This window comes from Homo sapiens, chromosome 5, assembly GCF_000001405.40.
Source record: "Homo sapiens chromosome 5, GRCh38.p14 Primary Assembly".
In the NCBI taxonomy this organism is placed as follows: domain Eukaryota; kingdom Metazoa; phylum Chordata; class Mammalia; order Primates; family Hominidae; genus Homo; species Homo sapiens.
Window position 1 is genome coordinate 34,158,487 of NC_000005.10, and position 25,319 is coordinate 34,183,805.

The following is a 25,319-nucleotide window of genomic DNA, read 5'->3' on the forward strand; positions in this document are numbered from 1 at the left end:
TGCCTATATGGAATTAGTGTCTATATTTCAGAAAAATTAAGTTTCTTGTAAAGTGATTTTACTTACCAGGTGGTCATTTATGCATAAATTTACATCTTTTCATATAATAATTATGTAGTTTCCTAGAGCCAATTTAATTTCTCTTAAAATAATTTATTTTGAGATGACCATTATCTGATTTCATATGTGGAAATTCATAGAATGCAGAAATTCCAAACCTGAATTTCCTAAATATTTTTCATAAGACCTTCTATATAAATGATTCTGACCCATTTAGGGAATAATCTAATTTATTTGAATATTTTTTCTGTTAATCTACTAAAAAACAAAGAAATAATATATGGATTAATTACAATCAGAGATTTTGGTTACAACCATGGATATATTACGAATGTTCACCTCTTGACACTAGATTATAGAAGAAATAAGACTGAAGTGAGGGATTTAGGAGAAATATACTTACACACACAAACAATCATATATATATATTTATAAACATACGTATGTAACACATACATAGTGTATAAATAATAATTTTATCAGTCGCATTTTCACATTTGTTCTTAAAAACACCAAATAAGTCAGTGCCTTCTGTATCTCTTTAGAATTTTTGTAGGTTTGATTTTAAATAACTATATATTTCAGTTTAAATTTATCACATCAATGTCTACTATCTGATCATATTTATTTCAGAAAAAAACTCTGTGTATTTGAAATTCATAAACCTATAATGTTGTTTACTATGCATTAATCACGATTTAAAAAACATACAATAATAGCAAACAAACTTGAACAAAGACATGCAACTCATTCCAGAGGAATGAGAGATGTTTTTTCCAAGAAACTAATTTTCATCTCCTCATTATTTATTTTAATGTCTCTTTTTTACCAAATTATACAAATAATATGCAAATAAGTGATTAAAATAACGTGACAAAATCATAATGACCTCTAAAAATTATGACGAGCTGCAAAAAAGAATACTCATTAACAAGGTTGTACAATTAATTCTGTAAAAATGTTCCAAATGCAATTTGGCAAAAGAAAGATGCACAGGTTCCAGAAACAATTTATAGTGTTTATTGAAACATGCATATTTCCCAATTAAAATCCACTGATGAAATTTTTAAAATTTAACTTTTGAATGTCTTTATTCTATTTTATTAGATAGTTCTTTATCTTCAAATATAATACTGATAAATCTGAGGACTTGCCAAGTAATATGCTGTGATAAGTAAGAATATTGGAATTTGTCCCTGTACTACTCCAGGTAAACATTGATAAGAATAAAAGATATATACAAAAGTAAATAATTCAGATACTAAAAATTTAGATAATTAAAGCATTAAAAAAAAAAACCGGAAGTATAAACATAGAAACATGCCAAAGTTCTGTGAGAAAGATTCCAAGTAACACATTTAAGAATACATTAAGGAGCAATATTATGAGTACATAAATAATTCTAAACAAAAGATCATTAACGCAAGTGAAAATAAATATTAGGAAGTTTAAGTTCCTACCTTTAGACCAAAGAAGCTAACATAAATTGAGAAAAAATATACAAATGCAGATATAGGGTATAGAGTTCATTAGGTAGCCCCTACCATCAGACTTGTGTTTATTATTCAGTACTGAGGGCATTACAATCCACAATGGATGAGAGAAAAACATAAACAAAGGACCAGGGCAGTGTAGTCCTAAAGAAAACCTACTATAGATTTGCAAAGTTGCATTAAGTTAGTAGGTAGGCGAAGGACAGAACACCTGTCTAACAGAACTCCTACCATCCCGTTTTTCTTTTGCTTTCTGTTTGAAATCATTAGTTTATTTCCACAAGGCCTCAAAAGGATATTGCCCCAAATGAACATACCTGGATGAATTTCTTTAAATTATATGGACGTGTAAAGCATATTCATATACATTCTCTCTACATATATAATTATAATTTGCCCAATTCTCTGTGCCTGAATATTTGAAAAGGATGTTTGATCAGCATCTAATTGGACTACGAGGGAGCTGGTGATAGGTCCTACCGTTCACCAACACTGGGCTCCCTAAATTATAAGGGGACGCAGTGTGGCGTAGCAGTTAAGAGTTCCGTTACTCTAGAGTCAGACAGACCAGATTGCAATCTCAACTCCACCACTTACTAAATGTGTGACCTTGGCCAATATTTATATTATCCAATTTACAGCTACTCCAACTGTTGTCAAAATAAAACCAGTTATGATAATGCTCCCTATCTGCTAAAAGCACTGTGAAGGTTAAATCAAATAATCCCTGACCCATGACAGACTGATAATAATCCCTGACCGCTGACAGAGAGACTAAGAGAGAGGGAGCGAAAGAGAGAGAGAAAGAATGCTATGTGAAACAAAATCTGCAATACTAGCAAAAGAAAAAAAAAACCTTTTATATTGGGAAAAAAAAGAAAGAATAAGAATTTCAGAAAAATACTGCTTATTTTTCTTAATAAGAGTCTCATAGTTTGGATTTTCTAGAAGTAGAGTTTAAGACAGTGATTCATATGCATACATTTTATTGGGCATACTTCTGTCAGACAAGGCCAATTCTCTGGAGTGAGCTGACATCACTTGGCAGCTGGAGATCGCTCACTGACCCAGTAAAGAATATCTAGGTAGGGCACTGTCCAACCCTTGCAAGCCTCAGATGAATATGGCTCTCGCATTAAGTTCACCATATCCATGGTTACAAACGCTGCCCATTCATAGCTCAATGTGGGCAACTGTGCAATTGGCATTATGCTTCAGAGCCGAACTTTATGAAATACAGTTTATGTAGCCAAACCTTCCACTAGGAGCTTTAAAAAAACATAAAAATAAAAAGGTTTAAGAGGAAATTTTAATACACTAACAGGCCACTTAGAGAATATTTCAGTGTTCAAATGCAAATTCTTAGCATGGTATGGTTTTTCAATTGTTAAAAAAAATTGAATTCAAAAACTGTATATATAAAATGTTACATTTTTCTCTAAATTAAGAGTCTCAAACTCCAGTGAAATTAATTTTAAAATTCTTAATATCAAATATGTATATTAGCAGTTTTTTAAGATTAAACATAGTCTATTTATTTATGAAGCTGTTTGGACATTTTACTATTTTTCAGGTGAACTATCTGGATTCTGCTTACCTAGACAATGTCCATTGGACTTTTGACAGGAATTATTACACTCTTTATCTTTCATAGTGAAATAGTTCTTATTACATTAGACTACTGGTTTAAATTTTAAAAATATTGTAAATGTATGAAAAAACAACATATATGGAGAGTTCTATAAATTATATACAATGACAAAGCTTGGGAGATAATTATTGACAATGTTACTGATGCTATACATTAGTTGAATTGCTAATTAAAAATAAATGTCATGGTCAGTGAGGTTTCCCACTTAAACCATGCATTGTGTCTCCTTTGGGTACAACCATTTAATTTTTTTAACGATTTTTTTTCTAATCCATGCATCAATTTTCATTAATTTGATTTCTTCCTTTTATCCTTCATTACATAAAGTTAGTTTTACCCTGGACTGATTCTCTCTACACTGGATAGTGAAAGGTAGTCTGAGAGATTAATCTTGTATTCATTTTTTCATATTGCACATTAGGGACTTAGTTCATTTTATACTCATAACAGACTCTCACAGACTTGTTAGTTTATAATGAACCATGGTTCATGGTTCTGGAGACTGGAAATTCAAATGCATAGCAATGGCAGGTGAGTGCCTACATTCTCTGTCATCCCATGGCAGAAAGCAGAAGGTCAAGAGTAGGCAAAAGCAAGCTAGCAAGAATGGGCCAAACTTGTTTTTATAACAAAACCATTCTCATAATAACTAACCCACTCCAAGGAAAATGATATTAGTCCATTCATGAGGGCAGAACTCTCATAATTTAATCACCTCTTATTAGGCCCTAACTCCCAACACCATTACATTGAGAATTAGGTTTCCAACACATAAACTTTGGGGGACACATTCAAACCATAGCAGGTATATAATCAAATTAATGGTTTTGTCTAGCTCTGAATTACTAGATATGGCAGAAAATCATTTCTACAGTTGAGATTTTAAATGTATAGAATCTTGAATTCCTCTATTGTTTTTATATGCAAGTTCTCTTTATGTATCAGTGAAGAGGGGCTAAAATATTACAGAAATTTGTTTTAGATTGATGATTAGTAAATTGCAAAGCTTGTAATGGTTTATCTGAGCAGGGTAAGCTATTCTAAGCTCACTACCTCTTATTAAATAATGTGAAGAGTTCAACAAAACAGAATTTTAATCAAATTATAAATACTTATGGGTAGTTGGCTCTCTTTCTCCCCTTAGTATTCATTTGGATTTTAAAATTGTTTTAATTGAGAAAAATTATCATTGCCCTGACTTGCCTACCCTTTTCTTTGCAGCTGAAATTTCAATGCTACAGAGAAGAGAGAACAAGATAAACATGTTTCTTCATCTTAATGTACCTCTGTATAAGTTCTTGCATTCAATTACACATAATCAATGTACAGAATGTTCCTCATACAATGGGCATTCCACCTTGTATGTGCACACACGGATAAAAAATATAACTTCTGTACAAATTACATTGGCAGCTTCTGTGTCTTACCTTTAAAGACATGTACACGCTTGCATATCCATTTTTGGAGGATGGACATTTAATTACAATTTTAGATTTATGGTCCAACATAAGGGAAATAATATAGCTAAAAATGAAAGAAAAAGATTCTGAGCTTAATTTCTGGGTGATGTTATGTACAACAACCCCCCCATGACATGTGTTTATCTATATAACAAACCTTCGCATGTACCCGCAAACCTAAAATATAAACTTTTTAAAAAGATTGATTCCAACATTAGGAAGTCAATGTTTCTTTAAACTGCAATCTAGAGAAAGATGCTACTATAGTTTTGCCTTATTATTATATTTGTATTTTAATATTTTACTATAAAATGTATTTTATTATGATTGATTATTTTAATTAAAAATCTCAATAACAAAGTCCTCACAATTTCATATATGTCCATGATATACTAAAGTTTCTGCAAGTATTGAAAAGTGCTTAAAATGAGAAGCAACATATATGTTGTTGATTATCATCCAAAGGCTATGGGTAAAAAGGAGTGCTCTAGAAGGGCAAAAAACCAGACTGGACATAGAAAGACTCTCACCACATTGATAAAAGGTCCCTATTATATTTTCAAATTAAAAATAACAATAATTATTATATGCATTCATTCTTAAATACTACCTAGTAAACACACATTTTGAATCAGTGATTGGATTCCATCATTTTCAACCCTTCTGTAACCTTTAAAAACTTAAGACATGTTTATCTTGCCTATCCAAACAACAATGAGATGGTATCAATGGAGCATACAGAATACTTTGGTTTGTGTTGATATGTTAAAAACAAGAAAACAAACAAAAAACCAATTGATTTTTATTTTAGGACAGACAGTGGAACAAAGATATAAAATAATATCTACCATAAACCTTTGCACAGCAGTGCTGACGTGATCTTAACATCTGCCTATATTACAAAAGGGAAGTTAAGCTTGAATATGAAATGTGAAAAAAATAGCCTATTCAATTAAAAAGACTGATTTGGGAGGCGAACATTAAACACTAAGCAAATGCCCTTAGTGAGTTGGCAGGTGGTTAAAGAAATTACAGCAAAACGGTGGACTCCAGAGTCCTGAAGGGGTAATCAGCACAATGCCTGAGATGAAATGGTTAGGAAGCAGACTGTGATGTCTATTGCCAGAAAAATGATCAATGGTACGAGATATTTTGCACTCGAATTAGACAATAATGTGGCTCTTCCTACTAAAGCAGTAGAATAAAACATCATCTTTCACCTCAGCTCCTGGAGAAGATGATAATGTTTTTAGCAGAGTTCAAAAGGAATAGTGACTCAGGTTTTAGAGAGAGCTGCCAGGTGAAGCAAACAAGCAAAACAATTGCATGTTTAAAAAATTAAACAAGTAGCCAACATTTGGAAAATTATATTATGGAAAAGAAAAACCTTTCCAAATTTGCAGGATAAAGTCTCTGAAAGTGTCGAAAGGGACTTAAAATGAGAAGCTACAAATATGTTCATTATCGAACAATGGCCATGGGTAAAAAAGCAAGGAGTGCTCAAGAAGGGAAGAAAAACAAAATGGAAGAGACAGACTAACACCACATGGATAAAGAGACTTTATTATATTTTAAAATTATATACAGTAATTATTATATACATTCATTCATAAATTCTATATAAGTAAACATTCTAATCACAGTGTTTCAATTCCATTTTTCTCAAAACACACACACACACACACACACACACGAAAAGCCTGTAACCTTTGAAAGCCTAAAATGTAGGAGTTCCTCCAGGTACTCACTTCATAGTTCAGATGGATCTTACCAGATTATTAGCAACAAGAATTCAGTGCCTATATCACAGTTAAAATTATAGTTAAAATATTTAATAGAGGGACACCCACCCTCAATGCGGGTGGGCACCATCCAATTGGTCAGGGGTATGGATAAAACAAAAATGCATAGGAAAGCTCGCTCTCTCCTGGACCTAAGACACCCTCCTTCTGGTGCTTTTGGACATCCAAACTCCAGGCTGTCTGGCCTTGGGATTCCAGGAGTTGCAAAGTGGCTGTCTGAGTTCTCAGGCCTTTGGCCTCTGACTGAGAGTTATACCATCAGTTTCCCTAGTTCTGAAGCTTCAGGACTTGGAGAAAGCTACTCTACTCTCTTCCCTGGTTCTCCAGCTTGCAGACAACCTATCCTGGAACTTCTCGGCCCGCATAATCGCATGATCCAATTCCTATAATAAATGTACATCTCTCTCTCTCTCTCTGTATGTGTAGGTATATGCATGTGTGTATATATATATGTATACGTGTAGGTTCTGTCTGAGAGAACCCAGCCTAATACATCATGCAGCATATTATCAGAATAAAATTTGATAATGTATGTACAATGCTGAACACAGCATCTGGTATTTAAAAACATATTCAGCATCGAGTTACTGTAACTGCTGTCATTGATGCCTCTTCTTCTAAAATGAGATGCCATCACTTGTAAAATTATTTTTAAAAGATATATTTTTAAATGAAGAAGTCTTTTTATATGTCAAATAATTTACTTTAGATGTTTAAAATAGTATAGCTCACAAAAAATGTTGGCTTATAACAACTTCTACTGAGTATGTAAGAAAATGGTTTTGAAGTTCAATCTTTTTTTAAAAAAAAAGTTGTATGAATGTATTCAAAATTTACATGAACACTCAGCTATGTATACTATAAATATTTTCCAAACTCCATGAGCTGATTAATTAAAACAGATCCTCTAGCCAGGAAGACAAGCATATGAATACAACAGTCTTTCTTTTATCAATTCTCCTGAAATATCTAGTATAGCACATAATAATTTTTATATATGAGTGAAGGTGGTTTCTATGTCCAATTAGCAATAATTGTGCCTCAGGTCATCTTCATTGACTATGATACTGCCACTCTGAAAAGCTGTCTACATCCAAATATTGATTTAATTTGGCAAAAAAACAGGCAGGCTTAGAAAGTGTTTTAGAACAGGACAATTAAATAATATAATATTTTCTATAATATTTCATTTTCTTATTTCTTCTCAAGATCTCACGACAATGGATATAGTTGCCTTTTTATCTTAAGAAGTATAAATTTTACAAACATAAAAGGTATGTCTCCCTTCAATATTTCCTCTTAATGCTGAGTGCAAAATTGGTTCAGAAAGAAAATTGCTGACATTAAGCTAGGACGTGACTTGGCAACTGATTGCAACATATTTCTATAGGATGCTGTGGGATGTACCGAAAAAAGGATGTTTTAGACCCAGAGAGACTGTTGCTCTGTTCCCAGGGAAATGGAAAAAAAAACAAAAAACAAAAAACTTAATCTTGAGCTCTAGTTCTCGACTTATATAGAACATGGAATAAAGAAAAAGGTTTCTGTTCATCTCTATACTTCAGGAAGTGGAGCAATATTATTGGCTTTGCATCATTTCATCAATTAAGGAAGGTCTTATAATAGCATACTTCAACTCTTTTAAATATTAGACAATGGGTTTATTCACAAAGTATTTTTTATAAACATATGTTTTAGGCATAAAGTTTATTCATCCAAAATAAAGATTCCCATATTTCCATCTACTATGATTTTTCCATCATGCTTAGTATTAACCAATAATTTATACTCCACTACTGATACTTGCTAATTGAATTACACTTCTGATGATCATTTTTTTTTTCAAATGACATAGTGAGAGTTATGATCGGTTACTTGGGTTGTAAGGATTGAAAACATACCTAGATCATATAAATTTGTGAAGGTTTTGCCATCACAAGCATTATAGGGAATAATGAACATCAACTATCCTACAGCTAAACCTAATGAAGACCAAATTGCCTCCAAGGTCAAAACAATATTTCTTTGTGCTCAAAAGTGGTTCACATAATTGATGCTGCATTGATGCTGTCTATAGAGATTCTAGTTTTCTCCACATTTTCTCTATTTTTCAATTTCCTTTCTTTTCACTGGGGTCTATTGTTCTTTAACAGAAGTAATGGCCTTTTGTAAATATATAATTTTCACGTTGTAAGCATTCTTTCCAAGCTAGCTGCCCATCATCACGTTTTGGCTAGTCCCAGTCTCTGCTCATAGAACGCTTGTCCACACTCTAAATTCTCTCCGTTCTCCATAGCCCCCACTCATCTAATTCCTATAGTCTTTTAACTCAAAGCCTTCAACTTATGTACAGCTTTCTCTGCCTCACGTTTCAAGCTTAATGCATCATCTTAATTCATCTTTCGACATCTATTTCTACTACATGCTGCTCTCTTTCTCTATCTTACATCTCCCAGAATGTTTTATTTCAACAAATTGCTAATCTGTGCCAGGCATTGTTATTAGCAAAATGATAAGCCCTGCATGTAGCAAAGTTCCTGCCTTCACTGCATATGCATTAACAGCTCTGATTAGTCCACTTAAAAACCATTGTTCCCGTCATGCAGAACTCCATTGCCAAGCCACACAACACCCAGCCAGTAGGTTAGCAGCTCCGTGGAGCAAGGTAAACATGTTGATTCAATTGACTTTGGGCAGAAGGGTAAGATTTTGTCTTCAGCTTTTCTCATGAGGAACATATACAACCCAAATGGGAAAACCCTGTATCCTCCTGCCAAAGCAAATAATTCGATAATAAATAATAGCTTCCACTAAAATATAATGAAGTGGTTACTTTGATAGGTAATAAAGTATGTGTTGTTTTCCTTTAGTTTTCTTTTAAAAATGTATGTTAACCTTGTTTCAGTTTGGTTTTCCAGAGTATCCTGCATAAATGGACACAAACCACATTCACTTTGCTATGTGGATGGGGGAGATGCAAAAGGTGTCTTCAGTGCATGCCCAGATATTCCCACATGTTCAACCTTCCACTTAGCTCCCAATAAAACATGTTTCTTTTTTCACAACTAGGAGAGCTCTCCTTTTCATACCTCTGCAGTGACATAATGGCATACTAAATAGAGAAGTAAAAGGTTCATATGAAACTGTAATGTAAATATTATTCACATATTGAAATTCTGTAAACAGTATTAATATTTTTCCTGTGATGCTTTTAAATTTTAATATTCTGTAAAGTATATTTTAAGCATTCACAATTTGGATTTATTCGTGATAAGAGTATATTTTACCTATAATAGATTGGGAAATATATACATATGTGTGTGTGTGCATGCGTGTGTGTGTGTGTGTGTGTGTGTGTGTATTAATATATTTTCCTTGAGACTAGTAGTGAAGGCAAAGTTCTGAAACTGAATTTGCCAAAATGGGATTAGATGTGTGAGGGATTTATTTGGATAAACACTTTTGCAAGGTGAGGTGGAGGAAGCAGGAATAGACACAGCCTTCAGCCACAATACTTGTAAACCTTATGAAGGAGGAAAGAAAATAAAAAAGGTTAGGTAAAATGAGTTTCAGATAGTAGCACAATACTTAACATATTTTGGCAGGCCAATGGAGAGTTATCAAGCCAAAGTTTTCCTCCATATTGAGCAGGAACAGCACCTCACTATGCTTTGTCATTGGCTGACAACAGCTGTGAGATGGGGATTTTGGACTATAGGTAGTGATGGATACAAAGATGAACCCCTGGAGCTGTCAGTCAACTGTGATAGTCACTAGGGGAGATATACATGAAGCAGTCTCATCACAGTTACAAGCCTTGACCTTTTATTTTATACTAAAGTAAAATATAACTTTATTATGAAGACCATCGGGCCACCTAGTTACTATATACCAGTTGCTATGGTTTGAATGTGTCCCTCAAAATTCATGTGTTGGAAAATTAATCCCCAATGCAACAGTGGGAGGAGGTGAAATCCTTTGGGAAATGATTATGTCATGATGGTGGCATCCTCATAAATGAATTAATGTCACTACAAAAAGGCTTGAAAGAGGGAGTTTGGTCCCTATTCCCACCTTCGGTTCCTTCCTTCATGAGAAGATACAGTATTTCTTCCCTCTGGCGGGTGCAGCAACAAAGTACTCTCTTAGACGCAGACACTGAACTACAGGTGACTTCATCTTGGATTTCCAGCCTGCAGAACTGTGAAAAATCAATTTCTGTTCTTTATAAATGACCAGGTAGTAAATATTTTGTAATAGTAGCACAAACGAATTAACACAATTGTGAGGAAATTATTTCTGTAACATTTTACATAACAAAATTCAGCATTTTATAGGTTAGTCTGTGAAGTAGAGTTATTTATTTATTTACTTGAAAGTTCTACTAATCTGCATGTCCCTGATAATTAAAGATGTTGAGCATATTTTTTAATGTATCTGTTGGCCATTTGTATATCTTCTTTGAAGAAATGTCTGTTCAAATCCTTTGCCCATTTTTTAATCAGATTATGCATGTTTTGCTATTAAATTGTAGGAATTTCTTATATATTTTGAAAATTAATCCATTATCAGATATATGGATTGCAAATATTTTCTCTCATTTTATAGATTGCCTTTTCGTTCTGTTGATTGTATCCTTAGCTGTGTAGAAGTTTGCTTGGTTTTTGTTTTTCTTGTTTGTTTTTAGTTTGATATAGTCCAACTTGCCTATTTTTTGTTTCTGTTTCCTGTGCTTTTGATGTCATATTCAAAAAGTCATTGCAAATAGTAATATCAAAATGATATTACCTCACTCTTGTTAGGATGTTGATTTTCAAAAAACCAAAAGATAAATGGTGAGGATGTAGGGAACTTGGAATCCCTGTACACTGTACATTGAGAATGTACAATGATACAGCAACTAAGAAAACAGTATGGCGGTTCCTCCAAAAGCTAAAAATAATAGAATTACCACGCGATCCAGCACTCTTATTTCTAGATACATATCCAAAACAATTAAAATCAGGATCTTGTAGAGATATCAGCACTCTCACATTTATAGCATCATTTTTCACAATAGCCAATATATGGAAATGACCCATGTCTATGCCCATTGGCAGATGAATGGATAAAGAAATTGAGGTATATACACACAATAGAATATTTTTCAGTCTTAAGAAGAAAATCCTGCCATTGGTGACAATATTGATGAACCTAAGGGATCTTATGCTAAGTGAAATAAGCCAGTCACAAGAGGACAAATACTACAGAATTCCACTTATACGAGGTATCTGTAATAGTCAAACTCACAGAGGCAGAGAAGACCACAGTGGTTTCCAAAGGCTCTGTTGTGGGGTAATGGGAAGTTTTTCAAGGAATATGAACTTTGTTGTGCAAGATAAATACATTTTAGAGAGGGGCTGTTCAATATAGTGCCAATAGTTTATACTATATTGTGCATGTCAAAATTTGTTGAGGCTGGGTCTCAAATTCAGTCTTCTCACCACACACATACACACATAAGGGGTTTAAAATAAATTTCGGGGCGTCTTGGATATGTTTATGTGAATCATATCCAAGTGAGTGTGGTGACAGTATCGGGGGTGTTTGCATATGTTTAAACTCATTAAAGTATACAAGTTAAATATGTGCAGTTCTCTGTATATAAATTACCCTTCAAATAGCTGTTAATAAAGTGCTCTTTAATATCACTGAAAGTGCATTAACTGAAAATTCAAACTTCAGAAAATATATTAATGGTATGCAGTCATTAGTTGGTATAATTTCCTACGGTGATAACATCTCTCTCCTTAAATTCAGTACACAAGAATTGATACCAACTGCAGTTAAACAGTGTCCACCTTATTTTGTTATATTTTACACATCAATGTGTTCAAAAACCCAGAATTAAAATTTAAAGAATCTTAGAATATTTTCTCACTTATTGACAGAATTACAGATTCAATTTTTCTGATAGTTTATATTCAGCCATTGCTCCAACTATCCCAGAGATTGAGGGAGGTCTCAATAACTTATGAAGCATCATTATGTATTAGACATATGATGGTTAAAATGCCAGCTCTTCAATTTTTCCTTTATTTAAAATGGGTTCCAGGCACACACTGCTGTGACAGCCCTTCCTTTGTAAAGAATAGAATCTGCCAACCTTATTCTCAAATTTTAAACCTAGAGCTGTATCCAAAAGCTACCTATAAAGTCATTTATTATGGGCTTTGCTTGACTCATTCTGAATACCACAGGGTAGTTTTAGAGTTCAGGGTTTCCACCGAGATATTTTCATTAAGCATATACTAAAATAGAGTTTTCTTACTGAATTTTTTTCAGCAAGTTTATAAATCTCAAGTGCAGAGCTTTCTGTAAGTTATTAATCAAAAATTAACGTTGTGAATATATCTACAGTATAATATATATACATAAATATATTATATACTATAAATTCTGAATTCCTGAAATTAAATACTAGTTTTATAATTAAGTGAAATGTCTAATTTCCCCTGGTAGGGACATTTGTATATTTCTAAACCAAACATTCCATTTTGTTATGTGTATCAGTTAAGATGACCTATACTATACTGCAGTAATAAATAACTTTCACATCTAAAACCAATTCAGTCTCTATAATAAGTTTACAAGGAGACAGTCATTTAGGAAGACAGCTGATAAAAACTCTGTCACCACTCATGCTAATACAGCTCATAAGGGACCATGGGAAGGCCTTGTAAAAATTCCTTCTATTCAAATGACATTGGTCAAAACAAGTAAAGTGGTTTCATTTACCTTCAAGCAGGATGAAATACTGCCATCTTATTATTTGTATAGTATGAGAAAAACTAAAGTATTTGTGAGCAGCCTAATAGTTACATGATTGATAACATTTGTATTCACAATAGTGCCAGTAATAGAACCCAGAAGTATATTATTTTTCCTTTCAAACTACCCATAAATGTACCCATTGATTAATCATTGTGGGTATATTTATTCAACCAAGTATACAGCACATAATACTTCCATCTGGTTTGATATTTTCTATGTGTGCATCAGAATTTCATGAGATGTTGTCAAATGTTATAATAAAATTAATAAGCTCAAAGCCCATGCATGACATTTAATCTATTCCAAAAGAATGCCATTATGAAACTTAGGAAATAGAGTAATCCCTCTTATCCATAGAGGATACATTCCAAGACCCCCAGTGGTTGCCTGAAACTGTAGGTAGTTCAAATCCTATACATACTGTACTATGTATTTTTTTTCTATACATACATAGCTATGGTAAAGTTTAATTTATAAATTAGGCATAGTAAGAAACTAACAACAATAAAAATGATAAAATAGAACATTTATAATGTACTGTAATAAAAGTAGATGAATGTGGTCTCTTACTCTCTCTCAAAATATCTTGTTGTTATACACTCACCTATTTTTAGACCTTAGTTGAATGCTGGTTAACTGAAACCAGGGAAAACAGCCATGTACCCGGGGTTGGGCGGGGGGGGCGGGGGGAACTAAACATGCTTTCTTTATTCTGAAGTTCTCAAAATCCTAATAATTGAGTAACTTTATTCTTTCCCTGTGTAACTCCAGGCAATTTATTGAACCTCTATGCACCTAAGATTCAGGGATGCAATGAGAATGATAAAACTGCTCTATCAGCTGATTTATGTGAGAATTAAATCAGCCAATGCATGTAAATTCCTTAACTTGGTCCCACACAGAAAATTCTTTAACGTGTTAACCAATACTCTGTATGAAGTGAATGATATCATGTATATTATTTTGCAAACTCCTATTTTGCATATAGGTGCAGACATAGCTTCAGGTAAATACATGCAAACTAACTTATCTTTTAATATCTTAAAATTTTTCCATTATAAGGATACAAAAACTATTCTACCAATTACCTGTTGAAGAAACTCATGTTTAATTCCGGTTTATTTTGCCATCATAAACAATGCTGTGAAAGCATTCTTGTATATCGAGGATCACATATATGCCTTTACTTCTGTAGGATAGATTCTTTTTAAAAATATTTTAACTTTTATTTTAGGTTCAAGGGTGGACTTTTAATCTAGATGCTCAGACTAGCACATATGTATACTTTTGCACTATGAAAATATCAATAATTTTTTTCTCCAAGTGTAGTAACTTACAGTTGCACTAAAGTATATAAGATTTTCCAGGTTCATTGAAATTCCCTAAGAAATACTATACACTCTTATGATAAAAAATATATGTATAAAACTTATATTAGATTTCCGCATGTATGAATTTAGTAAAGCAACTTTATAATTTTGCCAGAAGCCCAGCACAGTGCCTAGAATGTACAATTTCACAGTATATTTTAGTTAAAATATTATAATTATGCCAATTGAGGGATGTATAATATTAGTAATAAACACTGAAATTACAAATATACTACTTCTGATATTATCAGGCCTAACAAAAACAAACTTGGTTGAATGTTATAAAATCAGTTACACATAAAAACATTATTATTAGCTATTACCCACTACATATTTTTCAAAATTCTGTTGTTGATTTAACTCATTTGCTAGATTAATATAATCGTCTCATTCAAGACCATAAAATCAATTTCCCATTTGTTTTATTTTATCTATATCTATGACAAACACTTTAAACCAAAATTTGAAGTGAATGTATTATAAAATAATTAGTATAAAATAAAAGCTATTCAAAAGACATATACTTCTATTGTATGGATATGTAAAATGAGTAAGAATGAGTAAAATGAGTAAGAAAAACTTTTTGTGTTAGCCACTGGGATTTTTGGTTTGTGTATTACTTTAGCATATTATCTCATTTTGAATGCTATAGTTTAGGACACTAGTTTAAACTACTGAAGTTAAAATGTTCTCCTTATTTCAGAGGATAGAAGGATCTTACAGTGACAGACATCCATTAGTAAGAATTAATTTCTAGAGATAAAGTGAATTCAGTAACCAAAGTGTCAGTAGAGTCAGCATGGTCAAAATAGTCTACATGGGAAATGCTTGGTGGCTCTTAGTTGATCATGGAGTCTCTAGAACCAAAAGTTGTGAATGCCAATTAAGTTTCGATTTGGCTTATATGATCTCAAATCTTCAGGTTTACAAAACATATCTTGAGCCACCACCCAGCTCTGTCACCCAGGCGGGAGTGCAGTGGCACCATCTCAGCTCACTGCAGCCTCCGCCTCCGAGGTTTAAGCGATTCTCATGCCTCAGCCTCCTGAGTAACTGGGACTACAGGTGCTCACCACCACGCAGGGATTCTTTTTCTATTTTTTTGTAGAGACATGGTTTCACCATGTTGGCCAGGCTGCTCTCGAACTCCTGACCTCATGATCCGCCCACCTCGGCCTCCCAAAGTGCTGGGATTACAGGCGTGAGCCACTGCACTGAGCCTACAGCTCATTTCTTACCACATAAAGCTTTGCACCTCTCCACAAAACTGCCATCAGGGATGTCCCCAGAAACCATTCATCCTAGGTGCCACGCAGAGAAGAGTTTCTTGTTCTCCTTTTCCCTCTACTTCTTCCCTCTCACCTCATCATGTTCATTCATTCATCCCTTTTCCATTCTCACTTTTAAGCTTTAACCTTTCAAAAGCCTATCTTCCCCTATAAGTAATGTATTGTAACTCCCGCCATCACCATATCCTTCTCCAACCAACCAAACTGCCATCCTGAGTTTATGGAAAGTCCATAAACTAAGAAGGAATGGGAAACATTCATTGCTAACTTGGCAGCCTCTCATCCACCCTACGTGAGAGCACAGATCTTATTGTCTTTGAAGACCCTTTTTTTTTGAGAAGCAGTCTCACTGTCGCCCAGGCTGGAGTGCGGTGGCACAATCTCGGCTCACTGCAAGCTCCAACTCCTGGGTTCATGCCATTTCCTGCCTCAGCCTCCCGAGCAGCTGGGACTACAGGGACTACAGGCGCCCACCACCACGCCCGGCTGATTTTTTTTGTATTTTCAGTAGAGACAGGGTTTCACTGTTAGCCAGGATGGTCTCGATCTCCTGACCTCATGATCTGCCTGCCTCAGCCTCCCAAAGTGCTGGGATTACAGGCATGAGCCACCGTGCCCAGCTCCTTTTTTTTTTTTTAAAGACAGGTCTCACTCTGTTGCCCAGGCTCAAGTGCAGTGGTGTAATCACAGCTTACTGCAGCCTCCAACTCCTGTGCTCAGGCTATCCGCCTGCCTCAGCCTCCCAAGCAGCTAGGACTACAGGCACACACCACCACACCTAGCTAATCTGTTTAGTTTTTGTAGAGATGGGGGTCCTCCTATGCTGAACAGGCTGGTCTCGAACTCCTGGCCTCAAGCAATCCTCCCACCTTGGCCTCCCAAAGTGCTGGGATGACAGGCATGAGCCACCATGCGGTCTGAAGACTTTTAAATGCTGCCATATTCAAGAAGCGTTGAAACTCACCTGTATTCGATGAGCCTGCTTTTCGCAAATGAGTAACATAAAACAGACTGAAATACCTTAAGCTTCTCAGCCTTTTACCCTCCTCTGGAATGATGAGTGTATCCCAAAAGTAAATCCATAATGAGGTCCAGTGTTTCCTTCATCCTTGGCTATGAAATAGACAAGAAAAAGGCAAGCTAGCCATTTCCATCTCACTATAGCAGACTCTCATGTTTGCTTTTTGACCGTATGTGGGAAGCGGGGACCTGACTCCTTTCCTACTTCCTAAGCACAACTTACTTTTCCTAGGAAATTCTCAACACAACCTACATGGATTAAACCAGCTTCCCCCCTTTGTTTCCAATATTCTTACAGCCAAAATGTCCAGAATGGGCAAGGCAACCTGAAAAAATGAGGACGGGTACATTATCCCATGCGCTAAACTGCCACTTACACTGGTTAGTCATGAAATCGGCAAAATTCCAGATGAGCTCTCCAACCACGTATTTTCTGCGTTTTTGATTGAGACCCAGATGGTACTGCTCTAGCAGACTTTTCTGGTACTCTTCACTGAACATCAGAGGTGGATCCTGGGAATCAAGGCAAAGAGAAGAGTAAGAACTGGCAGAATTGTAAATGTTAGATAAAAATAAAGATCCACTTGATGGTGACCAAAATATCTGTCCTCACTGGGGGCTGTAGTGACTGCAGGACTCACTGATGCTAGGGTAAAGACAGTCAGGGAGAAATTGGAAATCATCATTCTCAGTAAACTATCGCCAAGAACAAAAAACCAAACACCGCATATTCTCACTCATAAGTGGGAATTGAACAATGAGATCACATGGACACAGGAAGGGGAACATCACACTCTGGGGACTGTTGTGCGGTGGGGGGAGGGGGGAGGGATAGCATTGGGAGATATACCTAATGCTAGATGACGAGTTAGTGGGTGCAGCACACCAGCATGGCACATGTATACGTATGTAACTAACATGCACAATGTGCACATGTACCCTAAAACTTAACGTATAATAATAAAAAAAAAATACAAAAAAAAAAGCCAAGGAATGATGTAACCCAGAATTAAAAAGGAGGTTTAAAAAAAAACATCAATTAGTAACTGCTTTATTTATAAATATAATCTGATACTCAATTTTTCTTACTTTTCCGTCTCTATCTGCTGATACAGTCTTAAGGCTGAACTACACTAGAAGGAAAAATACGTCTTTAGGTCAGGTGTGCTGGCTCATGTCTGTCATCCAAGCACTTTGGGAGATGGAGGTGGGAGGACTGCTTGAGCCTAGGAGTTCAAGACTAGCCTACAAAAAGTACAAAAGTTAGCCAAGCATGGAGGCACACACCTGTGGTCCCAGCTACTTGGGAGGCTGAGGTGGGAGGACTGCTTCAGTCCCGGAGGTCAAAGCTGTGGTGAGCTGTGTTTGCACCACTACACTCCAGCCTGGGTGACAGAACAAGACCCTATCTCATGAATGAATGAATGAATGAATGAATGAATGAAAAATGAAATTAAACTAAACCAGGCTGGGCATGGTAGCTCAGGTCTGTAATCCCAGCACTTTGGGAGGTCGAGGCAGGAGGATCACTTGAGCTCAAGAGTTCAAGATCAGCCTAGGCAACACAGTGAAACCCAGTCTCTATAAAAAGGCTAAATATTCGCTAGGTGTAGTGGCGCATGCCTGTGGCTCCAGCTACTTGGGGGGCTGAGGAGGAAGGATCACTTGAGCCCAGGAGGTTGAGCAGTGAGCTGTGATTACGCCACTGCACTCCAGCCTGGGCAACAGAGTGAGGCTGTCTCAAAAAAAAATTTTTTTAAATTAAACCAAATAAATTCAGTTAACCTAGTCATATATCAAGACCTCAATAGCCACATGTAGCTAGTGGCTACCATTTCAGACAGTGCAGACATGGGGCATTTCCATCATTGCAAAGGTTCTTTTTTGAAACAAGGTCTCACTCTGTCACCCAGGTGGGAGTACAGTGGTGCAATTATGGCAGACTGACTGCAGCCTTGACCTACTGGGCTCAAACAATCCTCCTACCTCAGCCTCCCAAGTAGCTGGGACTAGAGGCAAGCACGACCATACCCAACTTTTTTTTTTTTTTTTTTTTTTTTGAGACGGAGTCTTGCTCTGTCGCCCAGGCTGGAGTGCAGTGGCACAATCTCGGCTCACTGCAACCTCCACCTCCCCAGTTCAAGCGATTCTCCTGCTTTAGCCTCCTGAGTAGCTGGGATTACAGGTACATGCCACCACACCCAGCTAATTTCTGTGTTTTCTTAGTAGAGACGGGGTTTCACCATGTTGGTCAAGCTGGACTTGAACTCTTGGCCTCGTGATCCACCCACCTCAGCCTCCCAAAGTGCTGGGATTACAGGCGTCAGCCACTGCACCCAGCCACAACTCATCTTAAATATTTTGTAGAGATGGGGTCCATGTTGTGCAGACTGGTCTCAAACTCCTGGGCTCAAGAGATCCTCTGACTTCGGTCTCCCAAAGGGCTAGCATTCCAGGTGTGAGCCACCACACCCAGCACTGCAGAGGTTCTATCAATGCTGACCTAGACCCTCTCGAGTTTCTTAAGAATTCAGAACGGGGGCTGGGCATGGTGGCTCATGCCTGTAATTCCAGCACTTTGGGAGGCCAAGGCAGGTGGATCGCTTGAGGTCAAAAGTTCAAGACCAGCCTGACCAACATGGTGAAACCTCATCTCTACTAAAAAAAAAAAAAAAAAAAAAAAAAAATTAGGTGAGCATGGTGGTGCATGCCTGTAATCCAAGCTACTTGGGAGGCTGATGCAGGAGAATTGCTTGAACCTGGGAGGCGGAGGTAGCAGTGAGTCAAGATTGCACCACTACACTCCAGCCTGGGTGACAACTGAAACTCCTCCTCAAAGGAGAAAGAATTCAGAGCTGGTTACCTTTTCAAAGAGAATGAACAAGGGTGCATATCCACAAACCATTTCCCCTTACTTGACTAGTTTGCAGAAGTGTCATTCTGTAAGCACGATAAATTTAAGGGTGCAAACAGAACAGTGCAGTCCACTGTGGGTGGCTGTTCCCTGTGTGTCAACTCCAACCCTGGAGTTACTAAATCAGGATCTCAGAATGCAGAGATCTGGCATTTCAATAAAACTTCCCCTGGAGATTCTGATCAGCCAGGTTTGGGCCAGATGAACTCTAAGCTCACTTAAACCTTTGACATTTTATGAGTCTATTAAATCGAGTACAAAAAATGCTGAGTCCAAACTGGGCAAACAAATCCCATCTCCCTATGCCCAGCCTCCTTGGATTCAGAAAGCCACACTGCCTGGAGAGTAAGCAGAGAGAGAATTGTCATTAACCCAAAGACCATCTTTGAAAACAGACTGGCTGCGGCTGAGTGCGGTGGCACACGCCTGTAACCCCAGCCCTTTGGAAGGCCGAGGCAGGAGGATCACTTGAGCCCAGGAGTTCGAGACCAGCCTGGGCAACATGGCAAGACCCTGTCTCTATCTTTCTAAGTAAAACAAAATAAAAAGCTCAGACTGGCAGCACATGGTTCTTTCCAGCTGTTCCCATGAGCAGGCTTCAGGACAAGCCCAGGCAAAGGCAGGGAGAAATGGGGTGGGGACCCCCAGGCTCACCCCCTTGTCTGCTGCGTAGGTGGAGTTGGTCACAAAGGTCACAGGCTGGGAGGGGTCCAAGGCTTTGGTGTGAGCAATCACCATCCTGTCCACAAAAGAGAGAAGACACAGGTTCCGTCAGTCCGGGAAAGGCTCAGACACCCTCCCATCCTCTCTGTCCCATCTTCCCCTGCCAGAACACAACTGGGGGCCAGGCATGATGGCTCACATCTGTAATCCCAGCACTTCAGGAGGCTGAGGCAGGCAGATCACTGAGGTCAGGAGTTCAAGAACAGCCTGGCCAACATGGCAAAACCCCATTTCTACTAAATATACAAAAATTAGCCAGGCTTAGTGGCACGCATCTGTAACTCCAGCTACTCGGGAGGCTGAGGCACAAGAATTGCTTGAACCCGGGAGGTGGAGGTTGCAGTGAGCCGAAATCACGCTACTGCACTCCAGCCTGGGCCACAGAGCAAGACCCTGCCCCAAAACAAACAAACAAACAAACAAACAAAAAGAAAGAAAAGAAAAGAAAAAAAAAAAAACAAAGCACAGAGCCGCTGCTTTCTTCCCTAACTTGAGATGTATTTTACATAAGGGCACGTTCCTCTAGTCCTAGACCAAGCTCTCTAACAACACTCTTTCTCCCCCACACCTGAATCCAATTCCCCCAGAGGCGTAGCCACCCTGCCAGGTACACACAGCTGAGGTCACTGGACTGAACACTGCCAAAAATGAGGTTCACTTCCTGAAATAGCCCTTGAACACAGGAGTGAATGGGCTGTGGATTCAGGTGGAATATTTATTAATGCATCAAGCAAACAGGTAGTGCGAGGTGGGAGGTAGGCATGAGGCTGGGTGCTAGGTGCTCAGTAATGACTCAAATCTAAGTCCACAGGTCCTGGGCAGTAGGAGTGGAGATGCATGCACAGAAAAACGGTGCAAGTGCCAGGCGAGGTGGCTCACGCCTAGAACCCCAGCACTTTGGGAGGCTTACTTGAGACCAGGTGCTTGACACCAGCCTGGGCAACATAGCAAGACCTTGTTTCTACAACAAATTTAAAAATTAGGGCCGGGCATGGTGGCTCAAGCCTGTGAGCACTTTGGGAGGCCAGGGCAGGTGGATCACGAGCTCAAGAGTTCGAGACCAGCCTGGCCAACAGGGTGAAACCCCATCTCAACAAAAAATAAAGAAGAAAACTAGCTGGGCATGGTGGCGTGAGCCTGTAATCCCAGCTACTCGGGAGGGTGAGGCAGGAGAACTGTTTGTACCCAGGAGGTAGAGGATGCAGTGAGCCAAGATCGCAACACTGCTCTCCAGCCTGGGAGACAGAGCAAGACTCTGACTCGTGGGGGAAAAAAGATATTAAAATTTAGCCTGGCAAGGCAGCGCACGTCTGTGGTCCCAGCTATTTGGGAGGCTGAGAGGGGAGGATCGCTTAAGCCCAGGAGGTCGAGATGGCAACGAGCTATGATTGCACCACTGCACTCCAGCCTGGGCAACACAGTGAGACCCTGACTCTGAAAAACAAACAATGAAAGAAATGTTGCGAATGGAAATGACAAATGGTGGCAGGAATTGGGCACTCTATGAGACAACAGACACATCCCCGATTGGAGAGTCAGGGACAGGCTCTTAGAAGAAATGGCCTTTATGCTGAGTCAAGTTAACCAGGAGGGATGAAGGGAAGAGGCTCCCAACAGAGGGACCAGTCTGTGCTCAGAGCTCCCAGCATCTGCCCAAGGCCTCCACAGAACAGACTGTTGTGTTTTTGTTTTGTTTTGTTTTTTTGAGATACAGAGTCTCATTCTGTAGCCCAGGCTGGAATGCAGTGGCATTATCTCAGCTCACTGCAATCTCTGCCTCCTGGTTCACCTGAGGCGATTCTCCTGCCTCAGCCTACCTAGTAGCTGGGATTACAGACGTCCACCACCATGCCCAGCTAATTTTTGTATTTTTAGTAGAGACAGGATTCACTACCTGTTGACCAGGCTGGTCTCGAACTCCTGACCTCAGGTGATCCACCCACCTCAGCCTCCCAAACTGCTGGGATTACAGGCGTGACCCACCGCATCCGGCCTAGACTGTTGTTGAAGCTGGTTTTCTTCTTCTTTCCTCAGTTCTTTTCTTTTACATCTTCCCCCCACCATTGCTCTGCCCATCCGAAGGCTGTGGCTGGCACAGGACAGAACAGAACCTCCTAGCCTCAAGTTCCAAACCCACACTCTCCAATAGCCAGGCTCTCAGATGGGAAGCTTCAAAGCCTTGTGACAGCCTGGCTGAACCTCTCCAGCCTGGGCGCTCCCTCCATTTCCTGCCCCGGAAACAGGCATCTCCTCTGGCCACCTCCCAAAGCCTGTCTGGAAGCCTCAGGCACCCGCTCCTGGAAGCCTGTACGATTCACAACAAAGGGCCCGTCCACCCAGTCGTGCTGAGCACACCCCTATTCCCCCGAGCTCTGAATTGTCCTTTGCCCAGGCTAGGACAACATCTCAGAGCCTTCTGCCTGCTGCAGACTCGGCTCAGCCCAAATCACTCCATGAAATTGGGGTGTGGCATCTGCCTCAAGGAGCATTTCTACAACCTCTGCTGCCTCTACCGCAAATGAAACTGGCTCTCACCCACTGGCTCTCGGTGACGGGCACAGTGCGGAGCCCCACAGGGAGTGTGTAGAAGTCAAAGGCCCCAGTGACTTCTGTGCAGTCAGCCGCACCTATGACAGCCAAAGCGCCAGGTGTGAGCGCCCCGACAGCCTGAGCCCCATCTGGCCTGCCCTACAGCAGGAAGACCCCTCGTGCATGCACCCCAGAAGTCGCCTCTGGGCCTGCAGAGAAGCAGCAATCAGAGGCTCTGCCCTTCACTGGCTGACCCTGGGACCTGCCCTTCAAAATCAGGCCTTCTCCTTGACCAGACGAGGTGGCTCATGCCTGGAATCCCTACACTTTGGGAGGCTAAGGCAGGAGGATCACCGGAGTCCAGGAGTTCAAGACCAGCCTGGGCAACCTAGTAAGACCCCCAACTCTATAAAAAGGATTTTTTTTTTTGAGACAGTCTCACTCTGTCACCCAGGATAGAGTGCAGTGGCATGATCTCAATTCACCGCAGCCCCTGCCTCCTGGGTTCAAGCAATTCCCCTGCCTCAGCCTCCCGAGTAGCTGGGATTACAGACGTGCATCATCATGCCCTGCAAATTTTCATATTTCAGTAGAGACGGGGTTTCACCATGTTGGCCAGGCTGGTCTCCAACTCCTGGCCTAAAGTGATCCGCCCGCGTCAGCCTCCCGAAGTGCTGGGATTACAGGCGTGAGCCACCATGCCCGGCCTACAAAAAAAATTTTTTTAATTAGCCAGGCATGGTGGCATGTGCCTGTAGTCCCAGCTACTCAGGAGGCCAAGGGAGGAGGATTGCAGCTCAAAGCTGCAGTGAGCTGTGATCAGGCCATTGCGTTCCAGCCTGGGTGACAGAGTGAGACCATCACAAATAAATAAATAAATAAATAAATAAATAAATAAATAAATAAATAAAAAATCTGGGCCTCCCGCCAAGGGTGGGAAACATCAGAAAGCTCAGAAAAGCTCAGAGGACCACACCTGCCCGTTCACCTGTCCTGGGCTCCTGCTGAAGCCAGGGCTACCAGATGGGAGCTAAAGACCTCCCTTAAGCAAGTCCCAAACCACCATTACCTCCCACGAGTACAGGTAGGCGGGGTGTTCGTGCATCAGGTACGGCCACCAGAGGTTGGCACCCAGCACCTTCAGCTGGCCCTGGGTCCCAGCCTGGTTGTCCACGACTTTGTTGTCTGATTTCAAAAGACACACTTCCAACTTGAACTGGTTACTGCACTTGACGGAGATATGGTAATTCACCAGCCCTGCAGGAGGCAAGAGAGACCAGGGCTTAGGGAGGGACATGACCTGGGTCACACGAACAGGAATGCCCCACAATGACCACTCCCAGGCACTCTCATTTGCTTCTGTTGCTTTTTTTTTTTTTTTTTTTTGAGATAGAATCTCGCTCTGTCACCCAGGCTGGAGTGCAGTGGCATGATCTGGACTCACTGAAACCTCTGCCTCCCAGGTTCAAGTGATTCTCCTGCCTCAGCCTCTGGAATAGCTGGGATTACAGGCACCTGCCACCACATCCAGCTAATTTTTGTATTGTTAGTAGAGACCGGGTTTCACCACATTAGCCAGGATGGTCTTGATCTCCTGACCTCGTGATCCGCCTGCCTCGGCCTCCCAAAGTGCTGGGATTACAGGCTTGAGCCACCGTGCCCGGCCCTGAACCAATGCGCCCGGCCCGCTTTTTTTTAATTTAATTTTTTAATTTTCTTTTTTTTTTTTTTTTTTTTTGAGATGGAGTCTCACTCTGTCACCCAGGCTGGAGTGTAGTGCTGCGATCCTGACTCACTGCAACCTCCACCTCTGGAGTTCAGGTGATTCTCCTGCCTCAGCCTTCCGAGTACCTGGGAATACAGGAATGCACCACCATGCCCGGCGAATTTTTGTATTTTTAGTAGAGACGGAGTTTTGCCATGTTGGCCAGGCTGGTCTCGAACTCCTGATCTCAGGTGACCCACCCGCCTCAGTCTCCCAATAGATTAGATATATTATTAACGAATTGCTTCCTTTAACACGCTATTCATTGAATTTTCCAGTAAACCACAATTACTAATTACTCCTGAAATCAGAAAAGAGGTTAAAAAGATTTTATAACAGTATCTTATGAAATCTACTACTTTCAAGTAATAGTAGTTGAATTACCAAAACCCGTCACTCAAGCCAATGACTACAATTAAGATATCAGTAA

At 39.1% G+C, this 25,319-nt stretch overlaps 1 protein-coding gene and 1 pseudogene across 1 annotated transcript in view, besides 3 other annotated features; both read right to left on the minus strand.

Annotated features, from left to right (window-relative positions):
• The window catches only part of C1QTNF3 (C1q and TNF related 3), a 226,867-nt gene that overhangs the window by 140,629 nt on the left and 60,919 nt on the right, over nucleotides 1-25,319 (minus strand). Inside the window, exons 3-7 of the transcript NR_146599.1 lie at nucleotides 24,194-24,381; nucleotides 20,527-20,611; nucleotides 17,336-17,471; nucleotides 16,959-17,051; nucleotides 10,541-10,667 (exon numbers count right to left, since the gene is read on the minus strand). The gene's annotated coding sequence lies outside the window, so the exon portion shown is untranslated. The remainder of the gene's footprint in view (nucleotides 1-10,540; nucleotides 10,668-16,958; nucleotides 17,052-17,335; nucleotides 17,472-20,526; nucleotides 20,612-24,193; nucleotides 24,382-25,319) is intronic.
• GUSBP18 (GUSB pseudogene 18) lies at nucleotides 17,336-24,382 on the minus strand (annotated as a pseudogene).
• Nucleotides 21,081-22,071: an enhancer, noted in NCBI's record as "H3K27ac-H3K4me1 hESC enhancer chr5:34179672-34180662 (GRCh37/hg19 assembly coordinates)". NCBI's record gives its function as "activates a minimal SCP1, AML or CMV promoter by ChIP-STARR-seq in primed H9 embryonic stem cells {active_cell/tissue: H9 hESC(primed)}" and the evidence as "EXISTENCE:reporter gene assay evidence [ECO:0000049][PMID:30033119]".
• Nucleotides 23,516-23,665: a silencer, noted in NCBI's record as "fragment chr5:34182107-34182256 (GRCh37/hg19 assembly coordinates)". NCBI's record gives its function as "represses an EF-1alpha promoter that drives an FKBP-Casp9 reporter gene in an ReSE screen in K562 erythroleukemia cells {active_cell/tissue: K562}" and the evidence as "EXISTENCE:reporter gene assay evidence [ECO:0000049][PMID:32094911]".
• Nucleotides 24,152-24,761: an enhancer, noted in NCBI's record as "H3K27ac-H3K4me1 hESC enhancer chr5:34182743-34183352 (GRCh37/hg19 assembly coordinates)". NCBI's record gives its function as "activates a minimal SCP1, AML or CMV promoter by ChIP-STARR-seq in naive H9 embryonic stem cells {active_cell/tissue: H9 hESC(naive)}" and the evidence as "EXISTENCE:reporter gene assay evidence [ECO:0000049][PMID:30033119]".